At 37.9% G+C, this 15,221-nt stretch overlaps 1 protein-coding gene across 70 annotated transcripts in view; it reads right to left on the reverse strand.

Moving 5' to 3' along the window:
- SNAP91 (synaptosome associated protein 91) overlaps nucleotides 1-15,221 on the reverse strand; it is a 156,509-nt gene that overhangs the window by 14,565 nt on the left and 126,723 nt on the right. For 51 of the 70 annotated variants that reach the window (NR_164843.1, NR_164844.1, NR_164846.1 and 48 more), the window contains 4 exons: nucleotides 14,773-14,907; nucleotides 13,001-13,150; nucleotides 8,574-8,604; nucleotides 7,561-7,672 (listed from right to left, as the gene is read on the reverse strand). Coding sequence is in view for 66 of the 70 variants with exons in the window: in NM_001242794.2 (NP_001229723.1) it covers nucleotides 7,561-7,672; nucleotides 8,574-8,604; nucleotides 13,001-13,150; nucleotides 14,773-14,907 (428 nt within the window). In the remaining 4 variants the exon portion in view is untranslated. The remainder of the gene's footprint in view (nucleotides 1-7,560; nucleotides 7,673-8,573; nucleotides 8,605-13,000; nucleotides 13,151-14,772; nucleotides 14,908-15,221) is intronic. The other 19 variants (NR_164845.1, NM_001376685.1, NM_001376686.1 and 16 more) reach the window with 2 other exon arrangements.

A 15,221-nucleotide genomic window follows, 5' to 3' on the forward strand; every position in this document is an offset into this window, starting at 1 on the left:
TCATGTCTAAAACACCAAAAGCAATGGCAACAAAAGCCAAAATTGACAAATGGGATCAATGAAACGAAAGAGCTTCTGCACAGCAAAAGAAACTACCATGAGAGTGAACAGGCAACCTACAGAATGGGAGAAAATTTTTGCGATCTACTCATCTGACAAAGGGCTAATATCCAGAATCCTCAAAGAACTCAAACAAATTTACAAGAAAAAAACAAACAACCCCATCAAAAAGTGGGTGAAGGATATGAATAGACACTTCTCAAAAGAAGACATGCAGCCAAAAGACACATGAAAAAAAGCTCATCATCACTGGCCATCAGAGAAATGCAAATCAAAACCACAATGAGATACCATCTCACACCAATTAGGATGGCGATCATTAAAAAGTCAGGAAACAACAGGTGCTAGAGGATGTGAAGAAATAGGAACACTTTTACACTGTTGGTGGGACTGTAAACTAGTTCAACCATTGTGGAAGTCAGTGTTGTGATTCCTCAGGGATCTAGAACTAGAAATACCATTTGACCCAGCCATCCCATTACTGGCTATATACCCAAAGGATTATAAATCATGCTGCTATAAAGACACATGCACACGTATGTTTATTGTGGCACTATTCACAATAGCAAAGACTTGGAACCAACCAAAATGTCCAACAATGATAGACTGGATTAAGAAAATGTGGCACATATACACCATGGACTACTATGCAGCCATAAAAAAGGATGAGTTCACGTCTTTTGTAGGGACATGGATGAAGCTGGAAACCATCATTCTCAGCAAACTGTCACAAGGACAAAAAACCAAACACCGCATGTTCTCACTCATAGGTGGGAATTGAACAATGAGAACACTTGGACACAGGAAGGGGAACATCACACACTGGGGCCTGTTGTGGGATGGGGGGAGTGGGGAGGGATAGCATTAGGAGATATACCTAATGTAAATGATGAGTTAATGGGTGCAGCACACCAACATGGCACATGTATACATATGTAAGAAACCTGCACGTTGTGCACATTAAAGTATAATAATAATAATAATAATAATAATAATAATAACTTAATAGGTCTGCTGTGCACTGTAAAACAGGAATAAGTAACCCAGGAAGCACAGGGCTCCTGATGGCCATGATGACAGAGCCCTGCCAGCAGACGTAGTTCAATATTCAAGTCCTGCTAAGGTTTTTAGATCTAACTTGGGTTCTGTGATCTGAAAAGTGTTATAGCTACACCTCTAAGAAGCAATTAAGGGAAATTTGGAATAAGTGGGGAAAAGTAATCTTACTGCTTATCTATCAATAAAAACTTTAAAAAGGCAGCAAAAGGATTCCCCTTCCCAAATCTGCATCCTTCATCTCCTTCTCAATAGCAAAGACCTGTAGATTACAAGGAAAATTTGGAAACACTGCTTTGCTGCTTCTGAAGCACTTGTTTCTGGTGTCTCTAGCTTCTTTTCCTTGAGTATTCCTAGAAAGAGACTATAAAGGAATAGAAGGTTGGAAGAGATCAACTGGGGAGGCAGGGTGTAAAGGTATGTTGGAGAAAGCTGAAATAGTTCCCTCAGAATAATTTCTTAAGTAAAAGCAAAGCCACAGCTTTGTTAGGAAAGAACAGCTTTGTAAAAAATAAAATGGAGTATCTATATAAAAGAATATAGATAAAACTAAGAATTAATAAAGATAAAATAACTATGCATAAGAGAGCCTGTATATTGTGGTGTAAAATGCTAAGTAAAATAAAAGAAATAAAACTTTATGTAACTCTTTATTGTAACAAATAGTTTCTATTGTTCTAATTTCTCTTTCCGTAGCTGCTGTGGATACTTTATGCTAAAACTTTCCATATTTCACTTTCTGGGGTTTAATTACCAATAATTAAAATTTTTCTGCTTCATAAACAAAAATAAAGAGTTTTGGGGTTAAAAAAATGAGACAATCTCAGTCTGTGAAAGTGCCTACCAATCAGTCAGCAGCTTTGTTATCCTAAAGATGCAAAACAGTTGTTAATTAAGTACTTGATGAATTCTTAACTTTGCACAGTTAAGTCTTGATCTCAGGGTGGGTAATGGCCAAGGAAGTTCTTCAACTTAATATTACTTTTAAAGTGCTTTTCCCTTGTTCCCTTCTGGGTTAGTGGCCTCATTATTTGGCAAACTGCCTCACACAGAAACCTGGATGATATGGTTTGGCTGTCTTCCTACCCAAGTCTCATCTTGAATTCCCATGTGTTGTGGGAGGGCCTGGTGGGAGGTAATTGAATCATGGGGGCAGGTCTTTCCCATGCTGTTCCTGTGGTAGTGAATAAGTCTCATGAGATCTGATGGTTTTATAAGGGGGAGTTTCCCCAAACAAGCGCTCTCTTTGCCTGCTGTCATCCATGTAAGATGTGACTTGCTCCTCCTTATCTTCCACCATGATTGTGAGGCCTCCCCAGCCATGTGGAACTGTAAGTTCATGAAACCTTTTTTTTTGTAAATTGCCCAGTCTCGGGTATGTCTTGATCAGCAGTGTGAAAACAAACTAATATGGTAAAAATGGTATCAGTAGAGTGGAGCGCTGCAGAAAAGCCACCCAAAAATGAGGCATCAACTTTGGAACTGGGTAACAGGCAGAGGTTGGGACAGTTTGGAGGGCTCAGAAGAAGATGGGAAAATGTGGGCTGCGGTGGTCTCAGGTGGAGATGAAGAACTTGTTGGGAATTGGAGTGAAGGTGATTCTTGTTATGTTTTAGCAGAAAGACTGGTAGCATTTTGCCCCTGCCCCAGAGATTTGTGGAACTTTGAACTTGAGAATGATGATTTAAGGTATCTGGTGGAATAAATTTCTAAGCTGCTAAACATTCAAGAGGTGACATGGGTGCTGTTAAAGCCAATCAGTTTTAAAACAGAAACAGAGCATAAAAGTTTGGAAAATTTGCAGCCTGACAATGTGACAGAAAAGAAAATCCCATTTTCTGAGGAGAAATTCAAGCCAGCTGCATAAATTTGCATAAGTAACAAAGAGCCGAATGTTTATCACCAACACAATGGGGAAAATGTCTCCAGGACACGTCAGAGAACTTTGTAGCAGCCCCTCTCATCACAGACCTGGAGGTTTACGGGGTGGCGGGGGGGGAAGTGGTTTCATGGGCTGGGCCCAGGGTCCCTGTGCTGTGTGCAGTCTAGGGACCTGGTGCCCAGTGTCCCGGCTGCTCCAGCTGTGACTCAAAGGGGCCAAGGGACAGCTTGGGCTGTTGCTTCAGAGGGTGGTAGTCCCAAACCTTGGCAGCTTACATGTGGTGTTGAGCCACAGAAGCTAAGAATTGAGGTTTGGGAACCTCCACATAGATTTCAGAAGATGTATGGAAACACCTGGATGCTCAGGCAGAAGTTTGCTGCAGGGGCAGGGCTCTCATGGAGAACCTCTGTTAGGGCAGTGCAGAGGGAAATGTGGGATGGGGGCCCCCACACAGAGTCCCTACTGGGGCACCACCAAGTGGAGCTATGAGAAGAAGGCCACTGTCCTCCAGACCCCAGAGTGGTAGCTCCACTGACAGCTTACACCATGGTCCTGGAAAAGCCACAGACACTCAACACCAGCCTGTGAAAGCACCCAGGAGGAGGGCTATACCCTGCAAAGCTACAGGGATGGAGCTGCCCGAGGACCATGGGCGCCCACCTCTTTTTTTTTTTTTCAGGTGGAGTCTCGCTCTGTCACAAGGCTGGAGTGCAGTGGCACAATCTCGGCTCACTGCAACCTGCGCCTCCCAGGTTCAAGCAATTCTCCTGCCTTAGCCTCCCAAGAAGCTGGGACTACAGGCATGTGCCACCATGAGCAGCTAATTTTTGTATTTTTAGTAGAGATGGGGTTTCACCATGTTGGCCAGGATGGTCTCGATCTTTTGACCTTGTGATCTGCCTGCCTCGGCCTCCCAAAATGCTGGGATTACAGGTGTTAGCCACCATGCCTGGCCCGGGAGCCCACCTCTTGCATCATGTGTGACCTGGATATAAGACTTGGCGTCAAAGGAGATCATTTTGGAGCTTTAAAATTTGACTCTCCCACTGGATTTTGGACTTGCATGGGGCCTACAGCCCCTTTGTTTTGGCCAATTTCTCCCATTTGGAATGGCGGTATTTACCCAAAGCCTGTACCCCCATTGTATCTAGGAAGTAACTAACTTGCTTTTGATTTTACAGGCTCATAGGTGAAAGAGACTTGCCTTGTCTCAGATGAGACTCTGGACTGTGGATTTTTGAGTTAATGTTAAAATGAGTTAAGACTTTGGTGGACTGTTGGGAAGGCATGACTGGTTTTGAAATGTGAAGATATGAGATTTGGGAGGGGCCGGGAGCAGAATGATATGGTTTGGCTGTGTCACCACCCAAATCTTATCTTGAATTCCCATGTGTTGTGGGAAGGATGCAATGGGAGGTAACTGAATCATAGGGGCAGGTCTTTCCTGTGCTGTTCTGGTGATAGTGAGTAAGTCTCATGAGATCTGATGGTTTAATAAGGGGGAGTTTCCCTGCACAAGCTCTTCCTTTGCCTGCTGCTATCCATGTAAGATATGACTTGCTCCTCCTTGTCTTCCGCCATGATTGTGAGGCCTCCCCAGCCATGAGTCCATTAAACCTCTTTTTCTTGTAAATTGCCCAGTCTCGGGTATGTCTTTATCAGCAGTGTGAAAACGGAATAATACACTGGGCAACCACTGTCTTAGTTGCCTCATCCATAAAAATCCCCACTTGTGTGGATTCTAACTGAAAATTTGTCTTCTTCTCTTCCTTTCTACCCTAACTCAGGCTCTAAACGTTTTTTCCTTTTGTTTTTTTTGAGACAGGGACTCACTGTCGCCCACGGCTGGAGTGTAGTAGCACAATCTCGGCTCACTGCAACCTCCTCCTCCTGGGTTCAAGTGATTCTCCCACCTCAGCCTCCTGAGTAGCTGAGAATACAGGCACATGCCACCATGGCTTGCAAAGTTTTGCATTTTTTTTTGGTAGAGATGGGGTTTCACCATGTTGGCTATGGCTGGTCTTGAACTCCTGACCTCAAGTGATCCGCCTGCCTTGGCCTCACAAAGTGCTGGGATTACAGGCATGAGCCACCGTGCCCAGCCAACTTTTTTTTTCCTTTTTTTAACCTACAGCCTGTCTGCCAGATACTAATGTTCTCACCACCTTGCCTTCCAATACCCCTAACTCACTTTAGACTGTGCTACTACCAGTGATTGTTCTGAAACTAACTTGTTAAAAAACAAAAGTTTTATCCTGGTGATAAGGGCAACATCACGAAAGTATAAATTCCTTAGAACAACAAATAAGGCCTTTCTAATTCTGCACAGAAGGGAATAGGAAAATTAATTCCTTTACTTTGATAATGATAATATAGATTACATTGTGAGATTTAATGTCATTATGTAGTATTAACAGACTCACCAAATCAGTTCTAAAAAAGCTTTTTTCTTCCTTTGGGAATTTTATTCAGATTTATTTACTCTCTCTCCTCCTTCCCACAGCAAAATAGAGGCTATCAAATGTTTCATACCTAAGAATGGAGGGCAGCTCCCTGGGCTGGAGTGCTACTTGCACAAGAGAGTTTTTCTAAGAAAGTAGTGGGAAAGTGGGACTAAAGACTTGTAGCAAACAAGTTGTGGGTAATTCCAAATGTGGGCTGAGGGGCCTTAGATTTTTGTATTGATAGGTAAAGAGAGCCACACCAATAACAGACAAACAGAGAGCCAAATCATGAGTGAATTCCCATTCACAATTGCTTCAAAGAGAATAAAATACCTAGGAATCCAACTTACAAGGGATGTGAAGGACCTCTTCAAGGAGAACTACAAACCACTGCTCAACGAAATGAAAGAGGACACAAACAAATGGAAGAACATTCCATGCTCATGGATAGGAATAATCAATATCGTGAAAATGGTCATACTGCCCAAGGTAATTTATAGATTCAATGCCATCCCCATCAAGCTACCAATGACTTTCTTCACAGAATTGGAAAAAACTACTTTAAAGTTCATATGGAACCAAAAAAGAGCCTGCATTGCCAAGACAATCCTAAGCCAAAAGAACAAAGCTGGAGGCATCACACTACCTAACTTCAAACTATACTACAAGGCTACAGTAACCAAAACAGCATGGTACTGGTACCAAAACAGAGATATAGACCAATGGAACAGAACAGAGCCCTCAGAACTAATGCCACATATCTACAACTATCTGATCTTTGACAAACCTGACAAAAACAAGAAATGGGGAAAGGAATCCTTATTTAATAAATGATGCTGGGAAAACTGGCTAGCCATATGCAGAAAGCTGAAACTGGATCCCTTCCTTACACCTTATACAAAAATTAATTCAAGATGGATTAAAGACTTAAATGTTAGACCTAAAACCATAAAAATCCTAGAAGAAAACCTAGGCAATACCATTCAGGACATAGGCATGGGCAAGGACTTCATGTCTAAAACACCAAAAGCAATGGCAACAGAAGCCAAAATTGACCAATGGGATCTAATTAAACTAAAGAGCTTCTGCACAGCAAAAGAAACTACCATCAGAGTGAACAGGCAACCTACAGAATGGGAGAAAATTTTTAATTAGAATTTATATTAATTTACTTCTTGCATGTTTGTTTGGCTGGCGGTGATGAATGATGATTAAGAATTATTTCAGGTAACAAGGAAAGGATAACATCAAGAAAGCCTTAGAGATGGGTTTGATTTAGATAGGTGGAGGTGGTAAGCAAAGGTGGAAAACTGCCAGTAAGTTTGGGAAACAGTGATTAGCTTAGTTTTGCTAAACACAGAGTGCATATAGAAAAATTATACAGTTTGCTACTCTGAAAACACGTTCTTTTTGTGTCAGCAAATTTCACAAAGCAATAGTTAGTCTTTATTTCCAGTCATGTGTTCTTTCCCAGAGTGAATGGCAGTATTAATATATTAATAGAAATTTAAAATACAGACATGAAATCTATTTAAACCTTATAGAAAAGATGGTGTGAGTAGTTTCAATTTTTAAAATGGTGAGCAAAAGTAATAGGATTTTAAAATGAACTTACACAATAAAAAACTGCCCAATCTTTCTGGTAGGAAAAAAAGTTATTACTTACTAAGACAATCAGAAAATTTGGGCAAGAAATATGATAAGATAGATAAAATGATCAATGACATTAAGTGCTTTTGATAAATCATTTTCATAATTTTACAAATATGGAAGTATAAATATTAATTAAAATATTTAAAATTTTTAAAAGGTCATAATCATTATTAAATATAAAGTCATTGGAATCTGCATTTTGGTAACTTCTGCATCTTGCTTAGTTTTTTCATCTTGCTTATTTACTCTCTCTCCCACTTCCCGCAGCAAAACAGAGGCTATCAAATGTTTTCATACCTAAGAATGGAGGGCAGCCCCCTGGGCTGGAGTGCTACTTGCTTATATTTCTTCAATGCAGAGGAATAAGTACACCGTCGGCAGCAAAGTTAGCAAAATGCACGCTACTTTACACACTTGGAAACTGGCAAACTGCCTGCGCTGCCCTGGGCTCTGATTGCTACATACCAAAGGTGCACTTGGTGGAACGCCTGCTGACCAGGTTGCTGGAGCTACTTTAGGCTGCCAGTTGGCTCCACCAGTCAACTTTTTCTCTCCAGCATTCCACTGAAGATCTCCCCTAAAATTAACCATGCAAAACAAGCAAACAAACAAAAAATCACAAATCAGAAAAAAATGGTGTGTGGCTCCTTAGATTATTTTATTTGGGTTTAAAAGCAGTTTATTTAGTCAAGTGGTATAGTAATAAGAACAGCAGTTAAAACTTACAGAGGAATCTTGCCATGCTGTAACTAAGAAAGCTTAAAAGCATTTGAAAAAAAATCATTTAGAGTTTGGACCTCAATAAGTATAGGAATTTCCTATCCTCTATAAAGAAAAGTATGTCAGAAAAATCCAACTGGATTCATTTGTTATTAAAAATGCAAATAAATATATCATATATACTGTACACTTCGATTTTGTTGAATTTAAGATGCACTGATGATGGCACTTTCTGGATCTTAGAGGGTTCAGCAGAATGTTTCACACAACTGTATCATGACTGCAACCTGCCTTACAGTGATCGTAAGACACCATCCACTGAAAGATATGTCTCAATTTCAACGACAAAATATACATCTAAAAAAGAATATATTGTTTACCATTTTTACTATCTTTCCTTACAATTAATACTCCATGAAAGACTTTTTAAAATTCATGTTAGCTAGAACTATGGTAATGAATCTAGAATGTAATGCTATTAAAATATTCAAGCCACAATTCCCAAATATTTCTAGATATAACTTAGTGACAATCTCGGAGATTGAAATAGATTATTCCTTTTCATTGCAAAGCAACAGTTTGGAGCTTCCAGTAGAATAACAACAAAAATCTGGGATGAAATAAACACCAATTGTGAAATTATCTGAAATTATCTAGCATGAGAATGAATAATTACTCCAATGAGTAAAATGGTTGATAGTCTCAAATGAATACAAATATACCATCAAAAGGAAATCACATAATTTCCAAACACTTACTTTTTTGTTGTGGTACCAGAAATTCCAAGATCTATAAATGGATAAAAGAAAAAAGAATGTAAATCTCTACACTCAGTTTATATGATATGACATTTAAAAGATCAAATAATCAGAAGTCTATAAAAAAGTCCTTATTTTGCCTAGGAATGACTGCATTCAGTTATACAGAAAAGAAACTATATTAGGAAATATTTTCATAAATTAAAGATTTTCTTTTACTTCATGTTAGACTTAAGGATCCATTTTAATGTCAACTGGTGTCCAGAAAAGAGCAAACATAGCAGGTTTGATGCTGCTATTTTAGAAAGGCTGCTATCTGGGAACTTGGTTAGTAAATTGTTCTCTATACTAGGATAAAACTTGCCCTAAATGATAAAAGTGGATCACTGTGCCTACACTACTATTTGTACACATGATATGGTTTATGTTGAATATCCACTTTCATTCTGCAAGTCTGAAATTTTGGCACATGCCAAGCAGAAATGCCTACATGATCACTGCCCAATAAATACTCTGGGTGTGGAGTCTCTAAAGGTCTTCTTTAGGCATAAACACCTCACACATGCTGCTGCATTTTTGTTGCTGGGTGAAGAGTGTGTTCTTCTCCTCAAGGGAGAGACATAGCTTAAGGAAGTCTGCATGTGGACTCTTCTAGACTCTGCTTGTCTTTTCCCCTTATCATCAGCCATATATCCTTCCTCTGCTTCCGTAATAAATCTCAGCTGTGAGTACAACGATGTGCTGAGTCCCATGTGTCCTTCTAGTGGCTCTGTGAATCCCTTGACATAGTCGGCTTAATCAATCTGCTCTAATATCAATTCATTTATTACTTCAGAAAATATTTTGTGAGCATCTACATATGCCAGGCACTGTTTTAGGCACCCGGAACATATTAGTAAAGAAAACAGTCAGAGAGTCCTATCCTGGAGGAACTTGCATTCCGATGGTGTCAGACAGATGACAAAACAATTAAAAAGTAAATTATACAGGCTGCTAGAAGGCGATAAGGAAAGCTTATGGAAAAATGAAAAGGAAGGGCAAAGTAAGTGGGGTTGAAGGGGTAGGATAAACATGGGGCCAGAGAATATTATACAGGGTGCTTGGGGAAGGATTCATAGAAGTGAGACTTGGGCAAAGCTGAGCAGAGTCTGGGTGAGAGCTTTCTAGGCAGAGGGAACAGCCAGGACAACAGCCCTAATCAGGTGCATAATCAATGTATTAGAGGATGAAGTTAATATTTATTTCTTACCAAATCTTGGCATTACAAAACAGAATAAGGTATATATTAACTGAACACCAAATATAAAAATGATTACCCATAATTTTAGTTTTTTTAAAAGACAAAATTTATTTTAAAATTTATTTTTCAATTAGACTATAAAACTAAATATATGTATATTAAATGATTAAAAAGCTAAACCAAGTATTTATGCCTGTTCATGTGAAAAAGCAAAAGAAAGCAGAAGTGTACCTTACATATGTATACATGAATCCCTTGTCAAATTTCATGGCAGACGGGAATGAGTTACCTGAGGGCCTGGGCCTCTGTTGCAAGCTAGGTGTCCTGGGAAGAAGGCTCTGGGATGGAGATTAGCATGCAGGAGATTTATTTTGAAAGGGAAGAGAGGAAACTGTGATTGGGCAAGACTGCAATGCAGTCTCAATAGAAGCGTCAGCTAACACTGAAAAATGTTTTATAAAAACATTTTTCTTGAGATATAATTCACATACCATAAAATTCACTCTTTTAAAGTACGTAATTCAATGGTTTTAGTTTATTCACAGTGCTAACATAGAACTTTTTTGTCACCACAAAAAGAAACCCTGTACCAACTGGCAGTCACTCCTCTTCCTCTCCACTTCCCTCAGCCCCTTGAAGCCCCAATCTACTTCCTGTCTGTATGCATTTGTCTATTCTGGACATTTCATATAAATGGAATCATATATGAAAACACATAGTCTTTTGCGACCGACTTCTTTCACTTGGCATGTTTTCACAGTAAATCCAGTTGTAGCATGTATCAGTACTTCATTTCTTTTTATTGCCAAAGAATATTTCATTATGTAGATATATCATTTTTTTTTATCCATTCATCAAGTGATGAACATTAGGGTGGTCTACTTTTTGGTTATTATGAATAACAATACTATAAACATTCATGTACAAGTTTTTGTGTGCATACACATTTTCATTTCCACTCCATACACCTAGGAGTGGAAATGCTGAGTCATACGATAATCTATGTTTAACATTTTGAGTAACTATCAGACTTCTTTCTATAGCAGCTAAACCATGTTACATTTTTACCAGCAATGTCTGTGGGTTTCAAGTTTTCCATATCCTCATCAATACTGGTTATATGTCTTTTTAGTTATCTCCATCCTATTGGGTATAAAGTGATATCTTATTTGGTTTTGATTTGCATTTCACTGATGAATAATGGTGAGCATCTTTTCATGTGCATATTGGCCATCTGTATATATTCTTTGGAGAATATAGGGTGCTTGGGTCAAAAGGTCTATTCAAATAAATTATTTGCCATTTTAAAAATTGCATTATTTGTGTTTTCATTATTGAATTGTTAGAGTTCTTTATTCTGAGTACAAGTCTCTTATCTGATAAATGATTTGCAAATATTTTCTCCCATTCTATGGTTTGTCCTTTCACTTTCTTAATGGTATTGTCTACTGCACAAAAGTATTACATTTTGATATATTTCTATTTATCTATTTTTTCTTTTGTTTCTTGTACTTCTGGTGTCATATCTAAGAAACCAAACATAACCTAATCTCAGGTCATAAAGATTTACTCCTATGTTTTCTTCTAAAAGTTGCGTAGATTTAGCTCTTACATTTGGTTGTACGACTTACTTTGAATTAATTTTTTTTTGTTTAAGTAAAGGGTAAAATTTCATTCTTTTTCATGAAGTTATTTAGTCTTTCCCCAATTTTTTTCTCCTGAAAAGAATGTCTTTTCCCTCACTGAATGGTCTTGGTATCCTTGTCAAAAATCATTTGACTATATACGTGGGTTTATTTCTGGGATCTTTATTCTATACCTTTGGTCTCTATGTCTATCCTTATTCCAGTACCATTTGTCCTGATTATTGTAGCTTTGTAGAAGTTTTGAAATTGGAAACACGATTGCTTCAAATTTTTTCTTTTTCAAGATTGTTTGGGTATTGCTCTAGCGGGTTAGCTTCTTTCAGCTGGGATCATTCTCAAAGGTGGTTGACAGCTGAGGGCTGTGTGTTGGTGGCACTCTCAGCAGCTGGAGGCATAAGTCCTTTATTTCTGAAAGGGGATACATTATAGTATGCAGAGAAAGCAGTCACTTTGTGAGATGAAATTTTAGTATAGGAGGAAATATTCAAATAACCTCTCCCCGGGTGTCATAAAAGTATTTTCATGGTTGCTCAAATCACAGGGAAGGAATGGAAAACAAAATGTATGTCCACAGGCAAATTCACAGGTAAAGAAGTCTGTATCGTGATTTGCTAAACTTTTGATACTACCTTGAATAATATTACGTATCTACAGTGGTAAACCCATTCACATGAATACAAAATTCAGAATTAAGAGCAAAGGTCGATCTTTGTAATAGCTGCCCTCCTCCCTAGGACTCTCTCCTTTACCCACTCAGCTCTAGCCACTCATCTCCTGGATGTCCCTTGAATCTGCCAGGCAAACTTCTGCCTCAAAGCCTTTGCACTATTTCATTTTCCTGCAGATGTCCTTCTTTAGATCATCACGTAGTTTACCCCTTTCCCTTCAAAATCTTTGCTCAAATTTTACCTTCTTGTTGAGGCTTACTCTAACTCCTACCCTGTAGCACTCCCAGCTCTCCTTTGTCTGTTCTGTTTTTTCTCCATGGAACTTATGATCTATCACACTATAGAATTTATTTATTTTAAAGTTTGTGTCTGCCCTTCCTAAGTGCCATAAGTACAGACATTTTTATCTGTTTTGCTCACTGGTTTATCTCTAGAGCCTGGAAGAATGCTTGGTATTCAATAAATATTTGTTGAACAAATGACTGAAACTCAGTTGGATACTCAATTTATAAAGATACTATACTTCATGTAAGTTACCCTATGTTCTTATTTCCAAATGAAATGGAAAGTTAAGTGCTTTTTACACATAATACACTTGGTTTCATACTTGTATATGCTCCCTGATTATACCTTTAATAATTTAGACTAAAATGACATGGGTATTGCTCGTGAGCCAATGGCATAGGAACTGTTTGCCTTCCAAGGACCTGCACTGGGTAAAGCACTAAGTATTTCTATTCCCTCCCTGCCATACTCACCCATAAGAGAGTCCAGAAACAAAACATATGAGATGAGAGAGAGAGAGAGAGAGAAACAAAAAACAATTCACATATGCTTCAGTTAAAGAAAAAAAAAAAAAACTAGATTACTCACTGCCTACTAAGCTGGCAAGAGATGAATCAAGATCACTTCCAAGGGCTTTGCTGGCTGCCATTGCAGGACTGGGTGGTACCATTGAGACAGGTGCAGGCTGCCCAGCTGGTGCCATGGTTGGCATCAAAAGATCACCTAGACCATCAAACACTGGAAATCAAATAGACTAGGTTCAGAATAATTGAAAACAAAAAAAGATCATATGCGAAATTAAAGTAAAACTCTCTTTTGATACTATGGAAACAAGTGAATATAAAATCTTATAAAAGAAGGCAAGTAATTCACACTTTTCATGACTGTAACACCAAGAAGAACATGTCGACATATGTCTACTCATAAAGTATGAAAATACTAATGAACATGAACAAGGATGGAAAAAAATCTGTATAATGTACAGGAATGAACTGGGCTTCAATTCAGCTGCATGACTCACTGGCTACATGACTTTAAGAAAGTTACTCTCTGAGCTTTTTAGTTTTCTCATCTGTAAATGGGGAGAGTATGACCAATACATGGCTTTGTTGTAAACATTAAATTAGGTGATACATGTCATGGGTTTATTATAATGCTTGCTTTATACAGGCATTCAATATTGCCATTGTTGCTCTTATTCAAGAAAATAGTGAAAAGACTTCTAATGTGCTTTATGGTGAAATCTAAATAATTTACTCTGAAAACCTAAAATGTTTACCTTAAAAATAATTCTTAAATGAGAAAATAATGCATCTCTTGGTTTCCTACGAAATTAGGAAACAAAATAACATCTGATATAACAGTCAGCATCTAGTAATAGGTACCTGAAAAAGTTGATCACATTTCAAAAGTAATAATTTTGATTTTTTTCTCACTCATTAGAGCAATCATTTCTGGTTGTAACTCTAAGGGCATAAGTAAATTAAATACTATTTTAAGTATTAGGGATCAAATGCATCATTGATGGCTCCTGATCACCAAATAAGTTACTAATTGTTCAGTTCCTAGAATACAGAAAGTCCATTCAAAATGCAGACACATAGCATTTGCATAAGATGTTGCTAATATGTTATCTATGTCAAAAACTTTGTAGTTGTAAAATTTTATCAAAAAACTATGCATATCTACCATAACAACTACTATACAATAATTTTAAAGTGAAAAATGACAGCATTCAACTAGGCACTGGCAATAGAAGCAACCAAATTGTCAGGCAGAGGATTTATTTAGGGTGTTTCTGAAACACATTTAATTGCCAAAAACTCACCAAGTGAAAATTTGTAGTAAGGACCCAGCATGGGAAGAGTAGAATGGAAGAGAATACAAACAAAATGACAGCAGTGATGAAAGGTTAAAGGCAGGCAAAGAATACTATTTGTGTCTCAACTTCATAAAACTGAGGGCCATGCAGGCTTCAGAGGATGTAAGCAACAGCAGTGGGAGTGTTCACATATTCAAACACTGTACAAAGATTTAGTACAAAGTATCTGTTTTTCTTTAACCATCTCTAAACCATGTGCATGTAAGCTCATGCAAATAGATGGTGTGCAGGTTAAGTTAGATTTCTGCTAAAAATAAACAGAAACAGAGAAAGGATTGCAGGTTATTCTTATGGATACCAATGTGTACTATAAATTTTAATTTAAGTTACTAAATGAGAGATTTATTAACGTTTTATAAACCAAATTATCACTCAATATTTGCTTGTTGTAAATTTCCTGATAGCATACTAACCTTAGGTAGTACTTTTTTTTATTACCAGGACACATGAAAAGAATGTTTGAAAGTCACTGCCTCACCTGATGGATCAAAGGAGCTGCTGCTGGAAGTTGAAGGCGTTGTCCCAAAAGCTGCCTCAAAATTGGGCTGTAGCAGGTTATTCTGAGCTGGAGTCACTGGAGATGGGGAAGGCGCCATGAAAGAACCCCCAAATCCTGAAAAAAAGTTCCAAAAAAACAAGCAGAAATAACATAAAGGTGGGTAAAGGCCATAAAAACTGAATTTAAAAAGTTATAGAAAACTGAAAAGGAATTAATTGCATGTTGATTAGCAGTCAGTGAAACAGAGAAGCTCATTTCTGAAAAGTTGTTCAAGCATAATATTTTGAAATCTGACATGCATTAATGAGAGATTTAATTTAATTAGAAATAAGATAACACACAAGTATAACCTTATTAAGAGAAACTATGGCAAGCAAATCTATTATTACAATGGAGTATATAAACAAATAAGGTATCACTAGGTTTAC

This window comes from Homo sapiens, chromosome 6, assembly GCF_000001405.40.
Source record: "Homo sapiens chromosome 6, GRCh38.p14 Primary Assembly".
Taxonomy (NCBI): domain Eukaryota; kingdom Metazoa; phylum Chordata; class Mammalia; order Primates; family Hominidae; genus Homo; species Homo sapiens.